Source organism: Homo sapiens, chromosome 20 (genome assembly GCF_000001405.40).
Source record: "Homo sapiens chromosome 20, GRCh38.p14 Primary Assembly".
Taxonomy (NCBI): Eukaryota; Metazoa; Chordata; class Mammalia; order Primates; family Hominidae; genus Homo; species Homo sapiens.
In genome coordinates, this window is record NC_000020.11 from 40563666 (window position 1) to 40579729 (window position 16064).

The 16064-nt window shown below is 43.1% G+C and overlaps 1 long non-coding RNA gene across 2 annotated transcripts in view; it reads right to left on the reverse strand.

Moving 5' to 3' along the window:
* Nucleotides 1-4904: 4904 nt before the first annotated feature.
* The window catches only part of LOC102724968 (uncharacterized), a 75521-nt gene continuing 64361 nt past the window's right edge, over nt 4905-16064 (reverse strand). Inside the window, exons 7-8 of one of the 2 annotated variants that reach the window (XR_001754596.2) lie at nt 15330-15680; nt 4905-9157 (exon numbers count right to left, since the gene is read on the reverse strand). This is a non-coding gene — a long non-coding RNA (uncharacterized LOC102724968). Of the gene's footprint in view, nt 9158-13128; nt 15681-16064 lie in introns of those variants that run through there. The other variant, XR_001754597.1, reaches the window with a different exon arrangement.

Sequence of the window (16064 nt, forward strand, 5' to 3'; positions counted from 1 at the left end):
CGGCCAGGCTACTGAAGATTTGAGAGTTGGTTGGTGATCTGTTGGGGTTTGCATAGGCAGAATGGAGATTTCCTGGAAAAAAACAGGAAGCCAGGGACCAAGGAGGGGGCTGATGTGAGTATCTAAGGCCACCTCAGACATTTATCAGAACACCCAGGGCTGTTTCTTGGTTCTGTGCCTTGACAACACACTATGTCCTCTGCTTGGAATTTCAACAAACTTACCTTCCAAAAATTAATCAAGTAATTCATTTATTCAACTAGTATTAATTAAGCACTTATCCTGTGTGAAGCTCAGAATCTCTACTCTCAGGAAATTGATGGTCTGGTGCAGGGGCCAGCAAACTTTTTCTATAAAGAACCATAGAGTAAATATTTTAGGCTTTGTGGAACATAGGGTCTCTGTTACAACTCTACCATTGCAGAGCAAAATCACCCATAGACTATGGAAATGAATGAGCCTGGCTGCATTTCAATAAAACTTTATTTACAAAAACAGGCAGTGGGCCAGATTTGGCCCAAGGGCTGGTCAATTCCTGTTAAAATATAATATAAGCCATAAACATGAACCATTATCTATTTAAATTACATATGCAATTAAAAATGTTCTAGTAGCCACATTTTTAAAAGTAAAATAAATGAGTGAAATTAACTTTAATAATGTATTCTATTTGATGCAATATATCCAAAATATTATTTTAACATGTAATCAATATAAAAAATTATTAATGAGCTATTTCCTATTCTTTTTTATACTAAGCCTTTGAAATTTGATGCATATTTTACATTGACAGCACATGTCAATTAGGATTAGCCACATTTCAAGTGCTTGATAACTACATGCGACTGGTGGCCACCATATTGGATGGCACAGGTCTAGCAGGATAGTGGAGGGTGGCTAGGGGAGAGGACGAATGGCTGACTGATATTGGCTTAGGGCATAAATTAACTATGATACCAATCCAGCTTGCCCACTTGCTTGCTGGGTAATTTTTGGCATGGTTCTTACTAATCTGGGTATCTTTAGGCCCAAAGTAACAAATGAGGAGTTAGCTTTAGCCCCTAGGTTCCTTCCAGCTCAACAATGTAGAGATTCCAGACTCAGGGTTTAGTGGATGGAGTCAACAACTTGGATTTTCTTTGCTAAAAAGCACCTTGGATAGTACAATCATCTTGTACTGTCTTGTACTTGTATTCGCATAAGGCTTTCTGTGGCAACCCCACCATCCACATCTCCAGGGGCCTGTGAGGGTGGCTGTCTGCTCCTGAGGGGTCAGGGGATGTATACGTAAGGTAGAGAAGGGATAGGAGAATCGCCCTCTCCAGCTCTCTGAGAAAAACGTGCCCCCCTCAAACACACACAGGCACATACATGCATGCATGCACACACTCAAACACACACACAAGAACACACAGACACACATGCACACATGCATACACAGGGGCACACACACACACATGCACACACAGGTGCACACACAGGCACACACATGCACAGAGGTAACAGCTGTGATCTCCGGGCCTTAAGGTGCAGGACATGGGAACAGAAATACACTCCTCATGAGTCAGAGGGTGAGTCAGAATGTTCTGGAGAGCTTCAGAAGGGAGCAGCAGGAGGGGCTCATGGTGAGGAAGGGAGCCAGGTCCCTAGGGGAGAGGGAGGGAGAATGGTCAGGTTTCCCAGTCATAAAGCCAGGGAAACACGTCCTGTAAGGAATAGGGTCTGCTGCCTTGCCAATTTGGGTCCCGAAGGATAGCCTGTGCAGGGGAATGCAAAGTGAGGGGCATTAGGAGAAGGAGATGGCCTTTTGGGCTGCCAAGTAGGGAAGGATTCAGACAGGGGTGTATAAAGCCAGCTCTGTGAGACAGATCACCTGACCTCCGTGAAGGCTCAGTCTCAGACTGTCGCACTGCAGCAGCAGTGTTTCTTGAAGCCTGGGCTGCTGAGTGAGTGCATGGTTGTTGCTAACCCATGCTGAACTGGGGAAACTGAGGAAGAGGCCACACTGGTGTCCTATTTGGCCCAGGTTGGGACAGGTGAGATCAGTTCTGCATGGCAGGGATCTGTGGGATATACTGACTGTAGCCTAATTTAGGCACATGACCAGGGCTGGGGAACAGCTAAGCCACCTTGTGGGGCTGTCAGAGCTCAAGAGGGCTCGACAAACCATCAGATCCAGGCAGCAGTCTGGCAGAACTGGGTGGGAGGACAGGATGAGGACACCTTCAGGAGGAGCCAGGGATAATCTGCATCAGGAGCCAGACCAACCAAAAAGGGAGGGGACTGAGGGTCTTGACAGATGCAGCCAGGCTTGTGAAGTGGCCCCTACAGTGTGGTGCTGGGTTTGATCACCTCCTGGCTGACCCACTCAAGCCTAAGGGCAGAAACTAGGCTGTCCCTAGTCAAGACTGATTCCAGGATGTGGGATAAAGGGGTCCCTGCAGAAAGAACCCAGGGGACCCAGGCATGGGTAGAGGAAACTGAGTGGGCAGAAATGGCCCCTCCAACCCATTCCCCATCTGCCAGCTCTGTGTGCACAGTGTTCACATCACCCTGTCTTAGTTTGGGTTCCCTGGAGAGCAGAGCCTGCGATAAGGCCTTTGGTACAGGTAGTTGATTTGGGAGATGACCCCAGGAAGTACTCCAATGAGTACTGAAATACTCCAATGAACATTTCCTTCGAGCATCATGTTTCTGCTTTAAAAGTTTCAGATTTTGGAGCATTTTGGATTTTGGATTTTCAGATTTGGGATGCTCAGACTGTATATGGGAATATTACTGAGATCCTTACTGTAGGCAAAGGGGGCTTGGGTGTACCAGGATCTCTAGGAAGTGTACAGAAGGCCTCCCAGAATTTTCCACCTGAAAAACAGGAAGCTGGGACCTTTATCCACTAGTCTCCATGGCTTTATGGTTGAAGGCTGCCCCCAAGAGGGCTCACTTCCTGCCATCCCCTCCCCTGTAACTCTGGAGAAAGCTGTGGGGCAGGATGAGGAAAGATGTGGAGTGCACTGGAGGTGGGAGTCAGGCTGTGCTGCCCTCTCACAGCTGTGCACCCCTCCCATGGCTTGAAATAAACTTCAGACTCCTTCCCATGGCTTACAAGTCAATTTAAGCCCTGGCCCCTGCCTGCTTTTCCAACCCCATCTCCCTCCTCCCTCCCCCTTGCTCATAATGTCATAGCTACAGGTACTGATGAACAGCCATACTGGTCCCCTTTCCATTCCCAGAAACTACCATGCTCCAGAGACTTTGCATGAAACTCTGCAACACATGGTTACAATGGTCAACTCCTTCTCAACCTCAGGTCTCAGAAAACTATCCCCCCCCTTAGTGAGATCTCCCCGATAAATGAATCTACCTGAGGTCAAATCCCCCTGTATTCTCTCCCATATCCCAGGAACGTGCTAGTAAATGTTAACAAATCGTTCTCAAAGAAAAACAAAAGCCCTCATTTGTTGTGTCTCCTAATTTTCATAATGTAAATATTCCCATCATGGTCAATATCAAGCTAGCAACATGTGGTCACTGAATATGGTTTTAGGCAAAGAAGTACAACAATGCACAAACTATTATATATTATTTTCATCGTATAGATACAATAGAAGTAAAATAATTGAGTCATGCATTTCATTTTTCATTTTGATTTTTATATAATTTATATGATTTATTATATTATATATTATTTATTTATTATATTATATATTATTTATTAAAATACATATTATTTATATAATTTAATGTTTATAATGGCTGTGTTTAACTACTAGCTCACAAAAACCCCTGAAAATTTAACAATTGGCTCTCATGAGCTAATATGAATCAGCGCCAATTCATATCACCAACTTATATCACCTGTGTGCACTTCTTAAAATGTAATTATTTTTCATCCTTGCTTTACTCTTTTTATGAGAGCCTTCTAGAATGTGGGTTCCTTGAGGGTAGAAGCTATGACTCTTTTTTTCTCAGCTGTGTTCTTAGAAACCAGCACAATACCTAACCTACAATAGGAATCCAATAACTATTTGTTGAATGAAGGCATAAATGCATGAATGCATGGGCAAATGAGGTCAATAGGGTTGGGCATGCCTCCTGTGGACTGAAGAGGGAACACTCATCTTGAGTGACCCATGTTGAATGCCACAAGTCTTGTTGGGGTGCTTATGACAGGGGTGGGAGCAGAACAGGCCCAGAGGTTCCAGGCTGGAGAAGCCAGAAAGTGGTAAGGGATATGAATCTGGAATCATTGCTGAAGGCTCTTGGGCTCCCAGGGGTAGCCCCTGTTAGGGCTTTATCCCCTCCCTACAGCACAGTTGGCCCCCTGGCAGGTGGGGCTCTCAGACACATCCAAAGCCAGCAGAGTTCTCTATCCCAGCCCTCCACATGAGGCTTTGCATGGAGGGCTGAGCAGGCCACCTAGGTTCAAAGGTTTGCCCAATCTGCTCTGGTATATCTGGGATCCCAACAATTCCTGACACCCAGGCCAGCTGCACTCCCTACGTAGGGGTGGCCAAGGACCTGGAGAAAAGCAAGCTCAGCAAGCCTGTACTCATCAGCTCTCCAACGTGTGTCCGACCTTCTGCCAGCCCCTCCAGCCTGGAAGCCTGCTGTCCTAACAGGAGACACCTGACTTCACCTGTCTGCAGCACCCAGCACAAAGCCTGAGCAAGGCAGATGCAGGGAATGCTTGCAGCATGAACGAGCCAATGAGTAAGGCAGCTTCCCAGCAGAGCACATGTGAATCAGCAGTATTTCCCACTCAGGCCAGTCTCAGGCCTGGCACTGGGAAAGAGCACAGAGGTACCAGGCCAGCTGTACCCTTGACTGCAATCCAGGGTAGTGGCCAAGAACCCAGCCCTAGAGTCAGCCAGACTGGGGCCACATCCCAGCTTTGCTACCTGGGCCTTCATTTCATCATCTGTAAAATGGGGACAAATCATCATAGCACCTACCTCAACAGGTGACTGGAAGAATCAAATGAAATTGTGTAAGTAAGAGGCTTGCAAATTTCCTGGAACAGCAAAAGAGCACAATAGATTTAGCCTTTAATTTGTGAATACTTATATAGCAAACTTGTTGTGCCAGGAACTTTGTGCCTTAAGCCCCTTAGGAGTATTAACTCATTTAATATCATGCTTGTATTGAGGTCTTAATGCTACACTATACTGCCTCTCATTGTTTTTTTTTCTTTTCATTTGTTTCATTGATTTTATTTGGATTGGTTTGAGTTGGGTTGGATTTTTGCTGTTATTATTATTATTACAAAATAAGTTTCTTCCTCTCGTTTAATCTCAATATTCTTTTCCGTAAAATGGGGCATTGGGTTAAGTGACTTCTCATCCAATGTTTTCATTGCTATCAATCTCCTGTTTCCTGCCTCTTGGTTCACACCAGCTATCCAGACCTTTCTACATCTCCATCTGCAGACTGGATCCTACTGCAGGGACCTGACCCGGGAGACTGGGCTTAGGAGCCAAGCCCCAACTTCCAGCCCTTCACAGCTTGTGTTACCAGGAGAACATGGAAATGGTGGACATCTTGCTCAACTGGGAGGCTATGGAGACAAATGGTCACTCATCCCCAACTAGGGTATATGGTGCCAATTCTGGTCTCACTTTCCCATTGGAGAAAGTCCTGAAGGATCGGCATTTTAAGATTAAAATCCCAGAACTGCCAAGTTCATTCATTCTTCAGTCCATAAGTATTCAGAGCACCCACTGTGTGCTGAGGGCTGGGCAATGCTTTGGGAACAAGGGAGGGAATGAGACAGGAAGATGGCTGCTCCATCAAGTTTAGTACAGTGGGGGAAACAGAAAATAAACAAGTCAACATAAAAGTAAACTCTAACTCCTTTCAGAAAGCATCAGAAGCTACGAAGAGTGTAAAGCAGGCTAAGAAAATGGATTGGGCTATTCACAATAGCAAAGGCATGGAATCAGCCTAGGGGCCCACCACAAGCAGATTACATAAAGAAAATGTGGTATGTATATGCCATAGAATACTACACAGTCGTGGCCGGGTGCAGTGGCTCTTGCCTGTAATCTCAGTACTTTGGGAGGCCAAGACGGGCGGATCACGAGGTCAAGAGATCGAGACCATCCCGGCTAACACAGTGAAACCCCATCTCTACTAAAAATACAAAAAATTAGCAGGACGTGGTGGTGGGCGCCTGTAGTCCCAGCTACTCAGGAGGCTGAGGCAGGAGAATGGTGTGAACCCGGGAGGCAGAGCTTGCAGTGAACCAAGATCGCGCCACTGCACTCCAGCCTGGGATGACAGAGTGAGACTCCATCTCAAAAAAAAAAAAAAAAAAAAAAGAATACTACACAGCCATAAAAAATAATGAAATCATGTCCTTTGCAGCAGCAACAGGGATGCAGCTGGAGGCCATAATCCTAAGCAAATTAATGCAGAAACAGAAAACCAAATACTGCATGTTCTCACTTATAAATGGGTGCTAAACATTGAGTACACATGGACATAAAGATGGGAACACTCAACACTGAAGACTACTAGAAGCGGAAGGGAAATGGGGCCTGGGGGTTGAAAAACTACCTATTGGGTACTATGCTCACTACCTGAGTGGTGAGATCCATACCTCAAACCTCAGCATCACGCAACATACCCATGTAACAAACTTGCACATATACCCCCAAATCTAAAATAAAAGTTGAAATTATAAAATAAATTTTTTAAAAAGACAGAGTGGCTAGGAGGATGGTCAGGGAGGGATCTTGCTATGGAAGTGATTTAGGAGCTGAGACCCAAATGGGGAGCAGGTAGAGAGCTCAGACTGTTAAATGAGCAGGCCTGGGTGGCTGGAGTTTAGGAATCAAGGTGTGTGTGACTACAGAGACCATGTAAGTCATATAAGGACTGGTAAGCCATATAAGGAGCTTGGATTTCTTCTAGGTGCAATGAGGAGCCAATGGAGAATTTTTAGAAGGAAAATATCAGCCTTTTTACATTGCATTTTATTTGCCTGTACACAAGACTTATTGCATAATTTGTGGGGCCCAGTGCAAAATAAAAATGAAGGGCCCTTATTTAAAAATTATTAAGACTTTGAAGATGTCATGGGGCCCTCCCAAGCATAGCCATGCCAACATGGCTGCCCATGGAGCCAGCCCTGCCCATACAAAATATGTTGGCATTAATAAAGCTTTATTTAAATTAGCAAATATGTATTGATGACCTAAAATAAGCCAGACACCGTGCCAGGCACTGGGGGTATGAAAAAGTGAATGATCAAATGAAGAAAGCCATTTTGACCTTAATTTTTCTTTTGATTCACTCCACACACAAAATGCCAGCGGACTAACCCGCCTTCACATGTTTAATGGTGATCAGACCCATAAAGGTTCAGGCCATCCTTTGAATGGATTTGACTTGATTCCTTAGTAATAATGGGAACCATTATTGCACATCCACTGTGTGTCTGGCATACATGATTTCACATAATCTCCCCACCACCAGCCCTCAACAAGAACCATGCAAGGAAAGCACAAGGTGAGAAATCAAGCTCAAAGAAGAGAATTAACTTTTCCATGTTCATTCTGCTTACTGGTAATTATTGGAGTGGGGATTTGAACCCAGATCTCGTTGAATCCAGAGTCCTCCCTCTCTAGGTGCACAATCCTGCCTCCTGTACACTGTGTATTCAAATGGCTGCTCAAACTAAGGATTTAGATACAACCTTCAATAATCTTGAGAGTAATTAATGTCTGTGGAATATTTACTATGTTCCAAGCCCTACACTAAACTCTCTGTGTAGATCTTCTCATTTATTCCTATAAACAATCCCCTTGTGCATATAGCACTATCTCCATACTTTTCTAGTGGGAAGACCAAGACTAAGAAAGGTTAAGTAACTTGTCTGATTCCTCCCAGATAATAAGCAATGGAGCTGGGAGAGAAGCCGAGCTGGGAGAGAAGCGAAGCTGGGCAGCCCAAGGGTCTGAGTCCTTGCTTCTATTCCCTGCTACTTCTTTTCCTCTGCAAAAGCTATGCAGATCTTGTTTCTGTGGCCAGTTGGTCACTTTCCTATTGGAAAGGCCAGAGCTCAGAAGTCCAAAGAGCCTGGCCCAGGGAGAAGGTGTGGGGGTATGACCTGGTGTCAACATCAGGGCTGAAAATTGCTTCATGCCCTGCTCAAGAGGAACAGGAAGGTCTGACTTCTCCCCTAACCATGGGAAAGAGTTACTTTTCTAAAAAAAGCAGGGCCAGAAACATGAGTGTGAAATGTCAGGGCCCTTTCTACCTCAGCGTTTCCTTTTGTCTTGGCCTTTTCACCAATGGAAAGAGCTATCTTGAAAGAGGAAGATGTGCTCACTCTTGGTTTTCTAACCAAGGATCTGAGAGACTTCCCTAAAGAAAAGCGCCAGGCAGGAAGGTTCTGGGGCTGGGCATGCCTGGGAAGGCTGGGCCCCTACTCTGCACTGCAACCTCACAGGGACTATCAAGTCAGGACTCTTCGGCCTTACTCTGGTATTGCCCAGAAGAAATTATTAGAGAAAGGCAGGCATCTGTGGATGCCTCCTGGTACAGCCCATTGCCCTCAAGACACAGAAAATCCAAGCGCCAGGGGAAATGGCAGCACAGGTCCAGAAGCCTCTGTCAGTCCCAGCTGTGCTCTGGTGTAGTGGACTCTGGTGTCAGGCCAAGGCTGCATTTCGACAAACTCAGTAGGAATTCCACAATGCTACTCAATTATTGTGAGACCCATGCAAGTCCACAAATGACTTTGGTTCTCCTGATCCTTATTTTTCTGAATTAAGTGATGTAACTTGTATTAAGAAACATACAAATAGGGAAATCTAATTCTTGGTCTCAGTGAAGTTGCAGAAGAGCAGCTGAGGGAAGTTGTGAGGACTAAGCTCAAGGGTGCAGAATTATTATTACCTGATAACATAGCATCCAGCTGAATTGCTGAATCTTGGGGTCTAAGTTTTGTAAAAGAAGAACTACATGCCCTTTCATACCAGAAGTCCCCCATTCTCATATTCTTAGCATTGATTTGTCTTACATCTCTATTTCAAGTCTCTAGATCTCTAAGAGTGTCTATCTATTGCTTGTACTTCATTGCTTTTACTATGAAGTCTTCAAAATTTTTAGGTTCCAAATTTCTCCCTTCAAAACCTCGTAGCGGCTTCTCCATCTAGAAGAACAAAAGAAAAGTCTGTAGATAGCCAATTTTTTATATTCTTTTTAAGGAGCATTTTTTCTTCCTTGATGCTTCTAATATAAAAATAAATTATCTTCATAATTGAAATATTTTTGCCAGAATGTTTCAGGTGAGAATTCCTTTGAATTTATTTTTACTTGGAATGTTGTGAATCTTTTCATTTTGCATGCTCAATGAAGTTTTATTTAAGTATTAAAAAAAACTATCACTTATTAAGCATTCAGAGTCTTATGTGAGGCACTTTTATAGATTAACTCATGTAAATCTTAAAAACTCCTTATCAAAAAGTGATTAATAAGTATCATGACTAAAAGTAATGGATGTCTGAGTTTCCATCCAGGAAAGGTCTGGTAGGAGCCTTTCCAACCAGGTCACCTGGGGCATGTTACCCAAGCACTCTGAGCCTCAGTGTTCTAATCTGTATGATGAGGGTAGTAATGATACCTACCTCATTGGGCGGCCCTAAAGACTAAATGAGGTTACACAAGTAAAACATTTAAACAAATGTTTAATAATAATAAACAAATTCCCCCATAATAAACAAATTCCCCAAAGGTGCAGTATACAAAATCAACACACAAAAATCAGTTGCATTACTATACACTAATGATGAAATATCCAAAAAGAAATTAAGAAAACAATTCCATTTATATTTACAATGATATCAAAAAGGATAAAATGGATCAAGTGCAGTGGCTCACACCTGTAGTCCCAGCACTTTGGGAGGCCAAGGCGGGAGGATCACTTGAGGTCAGCAGTTCAAGATCAGCCTGGCCAACATGGCAAAACCCTGTCTCCACTAAAAATACAAAAATTAGCTGGGCATGGTGGTGTACACCTGTTAGTCCCAGCTACTTGGTAGACACCAGAATCACTTGAACCCAGGAGGCAGAGGTTGCAGTGAGCTGAGATCATGCCATTGTACTCCAGCCTGGGCAACAGAGCAAGACTGTGTCTCAAAAAAACAAAATGGATAAAATACTTAGGAATAAACTTAACCAAAGAAGCAAAAGATTTGTATACTGAAAACCCCAAAACATTGCTGAAAGAAATTAAAGAAGATGCAAATAAATGGATAGACATCTCTTGCTCATGGATTAGAAGACTTAATATTGTCCAAATGTCAATACTACTCAAAGCAATCTACAGATTCAATGAAATCGCTATCAAAATCCTAATGGCATTTTTTTGGCAGAAATGAAAAAACTCATCTTAAAATTCATAGGGAATCTCAAGGGACCCTGAACAGTCAAAACAACCTTATAACAGAAAAACAAAGTTGGAGGTCTGATTTCAAAACATATTACAAAGCTACAGTAATCAAAACAGTGTTGTACTGACATAAAGACAAGACACATAGACAAATGGAATAAAATAAAGAGCCAGAAATAAATCCTCTCATGTGGGTCAAGTGATCTTCAACAAGCGTGCCAAGAGCATTCAGTGAGGAAAGAGCAATCTCTTCAGTAAATGGTGCTGGGGAATCTGGATATTCAAATGCAAAAGAATGAAGTTGTACCGTTACCTTATACCATATATAAAAATTAACTCAAAATAAAGACCTAAACATAGGCTCTGAAACTCTAAAACTCTCAGAAGAAAACAGGGAGAAAAGCTTCATGACATTGAGTTTGGCAAGGATTCCCAAGATACAACTGAAACTCAATATGTTTGAAACTCTAAACTCTAAAACTCGTAGATGAAAACAGGGAGAAAAGTTCATGACATTGGGATTGGCAAGGATTCCCAGGATATGACACCAAAAGCACAGGCAACAAAAGCAAAAATAAATGAATGGGACTATATCAAATTTCAAAACTTTTGTGCATCAAAAGACACAATCGACAGAGTGAAAAGGCAACCCACAGAATGGGAGGAAATACTTGCAAATCATATATCTGTTATGGGGTTTATATCCAGAATATATACAGAACTCCTACAACTCAACAAAAAACAAAGCAAAACAAGAAACCTGATTTAAAATGGGCAAAAAATTTAATTTAACGTTTCTCCAAAGAAAAAGCATATAAAAAGATGCTCAACATCACTAATTATTAGGGAAATGCAAATAAAAATTGCAATGAGATATCACCTTACACCCACTAAGATGGCTAAACTTTTTTTTAAAAAAGCAGAAATTAATGAATGTTGGTAAGGATGTGGAGATATTAGAACACTTGTGCACTATTGGTGGGAATACAAAATAGTATAACTGCTATGGAAAACAGTATGATGATTCCTAAAAAAAAATAAAATTAAAATTATCATATAATCCAGCAATCCTACTTCTGGGTATATATCCCAAACAATTGAAAGCAAGAGCTCAAAGCAGCATTATTCCCAATAGCCAAGAAGCATAAGCAACCCAAATGTCCAACAACAGAAGAATGGATACACATACAATGAAATACTGTTCATCCTTAAAAAAGGAAATCCTGACACATGCTACCCTATGGATGAACCTTGAGACATTATGCTAAATGAAATAAGCCAGTCATAATAAAACAACTACTATATGATTCTATTTATATGAGGTATCTAAAGTAGTCAAATTCATGGAGACAAAAATTAGAATGGTGGTTGCCAGGGGCTGAGGGAAGGGGAAAATGGAGAGTTTCTCAATGTGTATAGAGTTTCAGTTTAGTAAAATAAAAAAGTTCTGGAGGTCCATTACACAACAATGTAAATGTGTTTAAAAATACTGAAATATACACTTAAAACTGGTTAAGATGGTAAATTTTATGTTATAGGTTTTTTAACCACAATCAAAAATAACAATAAGGTAGGTCATGATGGTTCATGCCTGTAATCCCAGAGCTTTGGGAGGCTGAGGTCAGAGGATTGCTTGAGGCCAGGAGTTTGAGGCTGTAGTGAGTGACAATCGCACCACAGCACTTCAGCCTGGGCAGCAGAACGAGATCTTGTCTTTAAAAATAATTTTTAAAATAAAAATAAAACACTGCACCTGGCATATAATAGAGATTCTATAAAGGCTGACTTTTATACAAATCTCTTTTCCTAATTAAGGAAACAGGAGTTTTAAGAGGCTGAGTAACATGCCCCAAATCATACAGCTAGTAAGTAAGTGGTGATGTGGGAATTTCAACTCAGTCCAACCCAAAGTCCATGCATGACCTTAACCATCAGAGCACAACGTTTCATGCCTCGCATCTGTTTGCCATACAGGAGGCTGCGAATGCAGAGAACTTCCTCTTCTATCAGTCATCTAGCACAGGGAACAGAATCGAGGCTGAAGGACAGCTTCAAGCCCCTTCTCCATCCAAGCTTTGAGATCAATAGGCTTTAGCCCCTCTGAACCAACCATGCTTAAAGTTTCAGAAGCCACAGCAGCTGGCAGGCTGATCCACACACACAGATTTCTTACTAACATCATGTTCTTCATAGTTACTGCTGCTGAGGAAATAAGCCCACTCCCTCTGATAGACAGAAATCAGACAATATAATGATGAAAAGCTACCCTCAGTCTCCAGCTCAACACTGTTTCAAGCAGCAACAATAGGCAAAACAAAAGTGTGAAATTAAATCTACTTGCTATCCCTGGAAGAGACAAACAAGAAAAAACATACATATAGACATTGAAATATTGATTCTTATGTGCACAAGCACAAGCTCTGTGGAAGCACAGAAGAAAAAGTGAATCAGCCTGTAATCCCAGCACTTTGGGAGGCCAACGCAGGCAGATTGCGAGGTCAGGAGTTCGAGACCAGCCTGGCCAATATGGTGAAACCCCAGCCCTACTAAAAATACAAAAATTAGCCCAGGCATGGTGGTGCGTGCCTCAGTCCCAGCTACTTGGGAGGCTGAGGCAGAAGAATCACTTGAACCCAGGACGTGGAGGTTGCAGTGAGCTGAGATTGCACCATTGCACTCCAGCCGGGGCAACAGAGCAAGACTCAGTCTCAAAAAAAAAAAAAAAAAGAAAGAAAGAAAAAGAAAAGAAAAAGTGAATCAGCCACACAGGCAGACTGTCTCAGAGAAGGCTTCCTGGAGGAGTTAACATGGGCACTGGGTCTTGAAGGATAAATAGGGGTTGGCCATGTTAAAAAATAAATTAATTTAAAAAAGAGAGGGCGAGAGATATGCACCAACAGAGACCAACAGACAGAGAAATCTAAAGGGACACGGCTGAGGAATAGCCCATCATTTACATCATTACCTATTCATTCATTCATTCATTCATTTGTTCATTCAAAAAAGTCAGTGAATGCCAAATACATGCTGACCCTGTGCTAGCTTACTAAGAAAGCAAAGCTGATTCTAACTTCCAGTAGCTCCCTGGGTACTTGTGGGACAGTATGGGAGGTGTGACAAGGGTGTTTCCAGTGGATGGGGGTGAGGAGAAGGGATTCTATCTGCATTGCAGATGGAAAAAGAGGGTGGGTTTTGAGTTCCATTTTGGGGGATAGAAGATTTAAGATTCTGTGACTGATTATATTCCAGGGATGGGGGAAAGAGAAATCTGGGAAACTGTCAGATCTCCAGCATAGGAAATCAAGAGAGGGGAATGAATGAGAGTAAATATGTTTGGAAAGTTAAAAACTAGCTCAACTTTAAAATCAACTTTCTAAGTTTGTGGGCCTAGAAAGCCTTCAGACTACAAAGGCCATGAGGGCAAGAATAAGAATTGCAGCACCTTGAAGGGCACACATCCCTGCCTGGAGGACCTAACACCATTATGGGGGTACACATAGGTGCTAAGGAATACTTGATGAGCTGACTTCCTACCACACTGTGCTTCAGCCCAGTCTTACTCAGCAACTGCTCTGCAAGACATCCAGATCATGGAAAGCCAGGTGAGCAAACCCGCCTTTGTCCACACCCCACCAGAGCTCCACACTGTAGGTACCAGAAGCTTCCTGGGCATCCAGGAATGACACAAAACTGTTTCTCTTTTCAAAAACTGAAATGCTCCCAAGATTGAACGTGCGGAACGCTTGTGCAGCTATAATCTCAGCAAACATCTGCCACCTTTGTGTGGCAAATGCAGTCTCTTTAGAATACTGCCTTTGATTTTGGGGAAAGACAAATCAGGCTGCACGTTTTGTTCTGAATGCGTCTCATCACAGGAGGAAATTTTCAGCAGCTTGGAATTCTGAATGTATGAAAAATGATTTTTTTTAAACAAAGAGTTCACGATAAAGCATCAACAAGGTTCCTAAAAGAGATGAAACCAGTTCTCTATTCCCATCCCTTTCCCCTCCCACGTCTCGTCTTTTTCTGGATTCTCCAAGGTCTTTCTCTGGAGCTGAGTCTCACTTATATTGCCATTTGCAGATCTGGGGTGGCAGCTCTTCTGGCCTCAGAGGGTTAGGTCAAGACTGCCAGTGGCCCAAGTCATCTCTACAAAGTGTGAGCTACAGAATAAGCCAGAGTCTCTTCTCTCTTGGTGTCAGACCTCACTGGTGTTTGTAAATCATCAAAATGGAAAAGCATTTGTGCTGCTGGGGAATGGACCTGAGATGCAGCCCCTCACTTCACAGCCCAGTAATAAAGAGTTGGTGTAACCACCCTGGAAGCAGCAGGTGGGGAGGAACAGCATTAGGCTGACCTGGGTTCAACTCCTCTCTTCTCTGCCGTCTAGCTCAGTGATCCTGGGTGGGCACCTTGAACCTGCTGGATCTCAGGTTTACCATCTGTAAAACAGGCCAGATTAAAGCCTGCCTTGTCATCAGAAGCCCATAGGTGAATGTGGGCACATCTGACTTGCAAACAACAAAGTGAAGTGCAGATGTAGAGTAATCAACTGTCCAGGCTCACCTGGGACTGAAGAGTTTCCCAGGATGTGGGACTTTCAGGAGAGTTCCAGACAAACCAGGAGTGTGGATCACCCTATGTCACCCAAAGCTAGCAAAACCCCATCATGACAGGGATAAGAACTAAGGTCGTCAAAGGGGTATAATGCATTTTCTGGAAAAATGCACACTGACTGATTCACTAAACAAAATATCCTGAGAATTTTATGAGAGGGTTAAGCAAGAGGCTTTCTTATTCTAATTTAGTCCTCCATTCACACTGGAGAGTTCAGTAAAGCTTTACATCTATTTCATAAATACCGGCATCACTTCACTTTTGCTAACAGGGCACCCAAAAGCATAATGGCTTAAAACAACAGTCATTTATGTACCTCACAAGTCAGTGGATCAGCAATTGGGCTGGGCTCAACGAGGGACTTCTCATCTGGACTCACTCATGTATCTTTGGTCACCAGCTTGTGCATCTAGGGCTGGCTGGACTAGGAGGGCCTCAGCTGGAAAGGCATGTTTTGGCTCCATATGGTCTCTCATCATGCAGTAGCCTTGTTCACGTGACAGCTAGGCAGCGTTCCAAAAGAGTCACAGCCCACAAGGCCTCTTGAGGCCTCACCTCAGCATTGGCATAGCATCACTTCCACCAAATTCTGTTGTCCAAAGTGGATCATAGAGCCAGCCCAGATTCAAGGCGTGGGGAAACAGACTCCAACTTTTGATGGCAGGAGCTGCAGAGATATATTTCAGAGGGGCGAAGATATAGGAGGTGAGGGGGAGAACTCCAATAATTTTTGCAATTGACAGTATCTTCCTTTTTATTTTATAAAACATAGAAACAAGGTACTTCAGTAGCTATAACAATCTATTGCTATATCATTGCCATCTCTCTAGTCACTCAAGCCAGAAACCTTGGAATTCTCCCAACCGGTCTCTGCCTCATTCCTGCTCCCTCTACACCCAACCAGGCCCTGCCATCTCCACCATCTAAACATTCATCACATAATTCCCTGGGATTATTCCTATTCATGCTCCCCACCTCCAGCCTCACCCTCTCTAATCCATTCTCCTCCCCACAGCCAGGATGATCCTTCTAAAGCATGCATTTGAACATG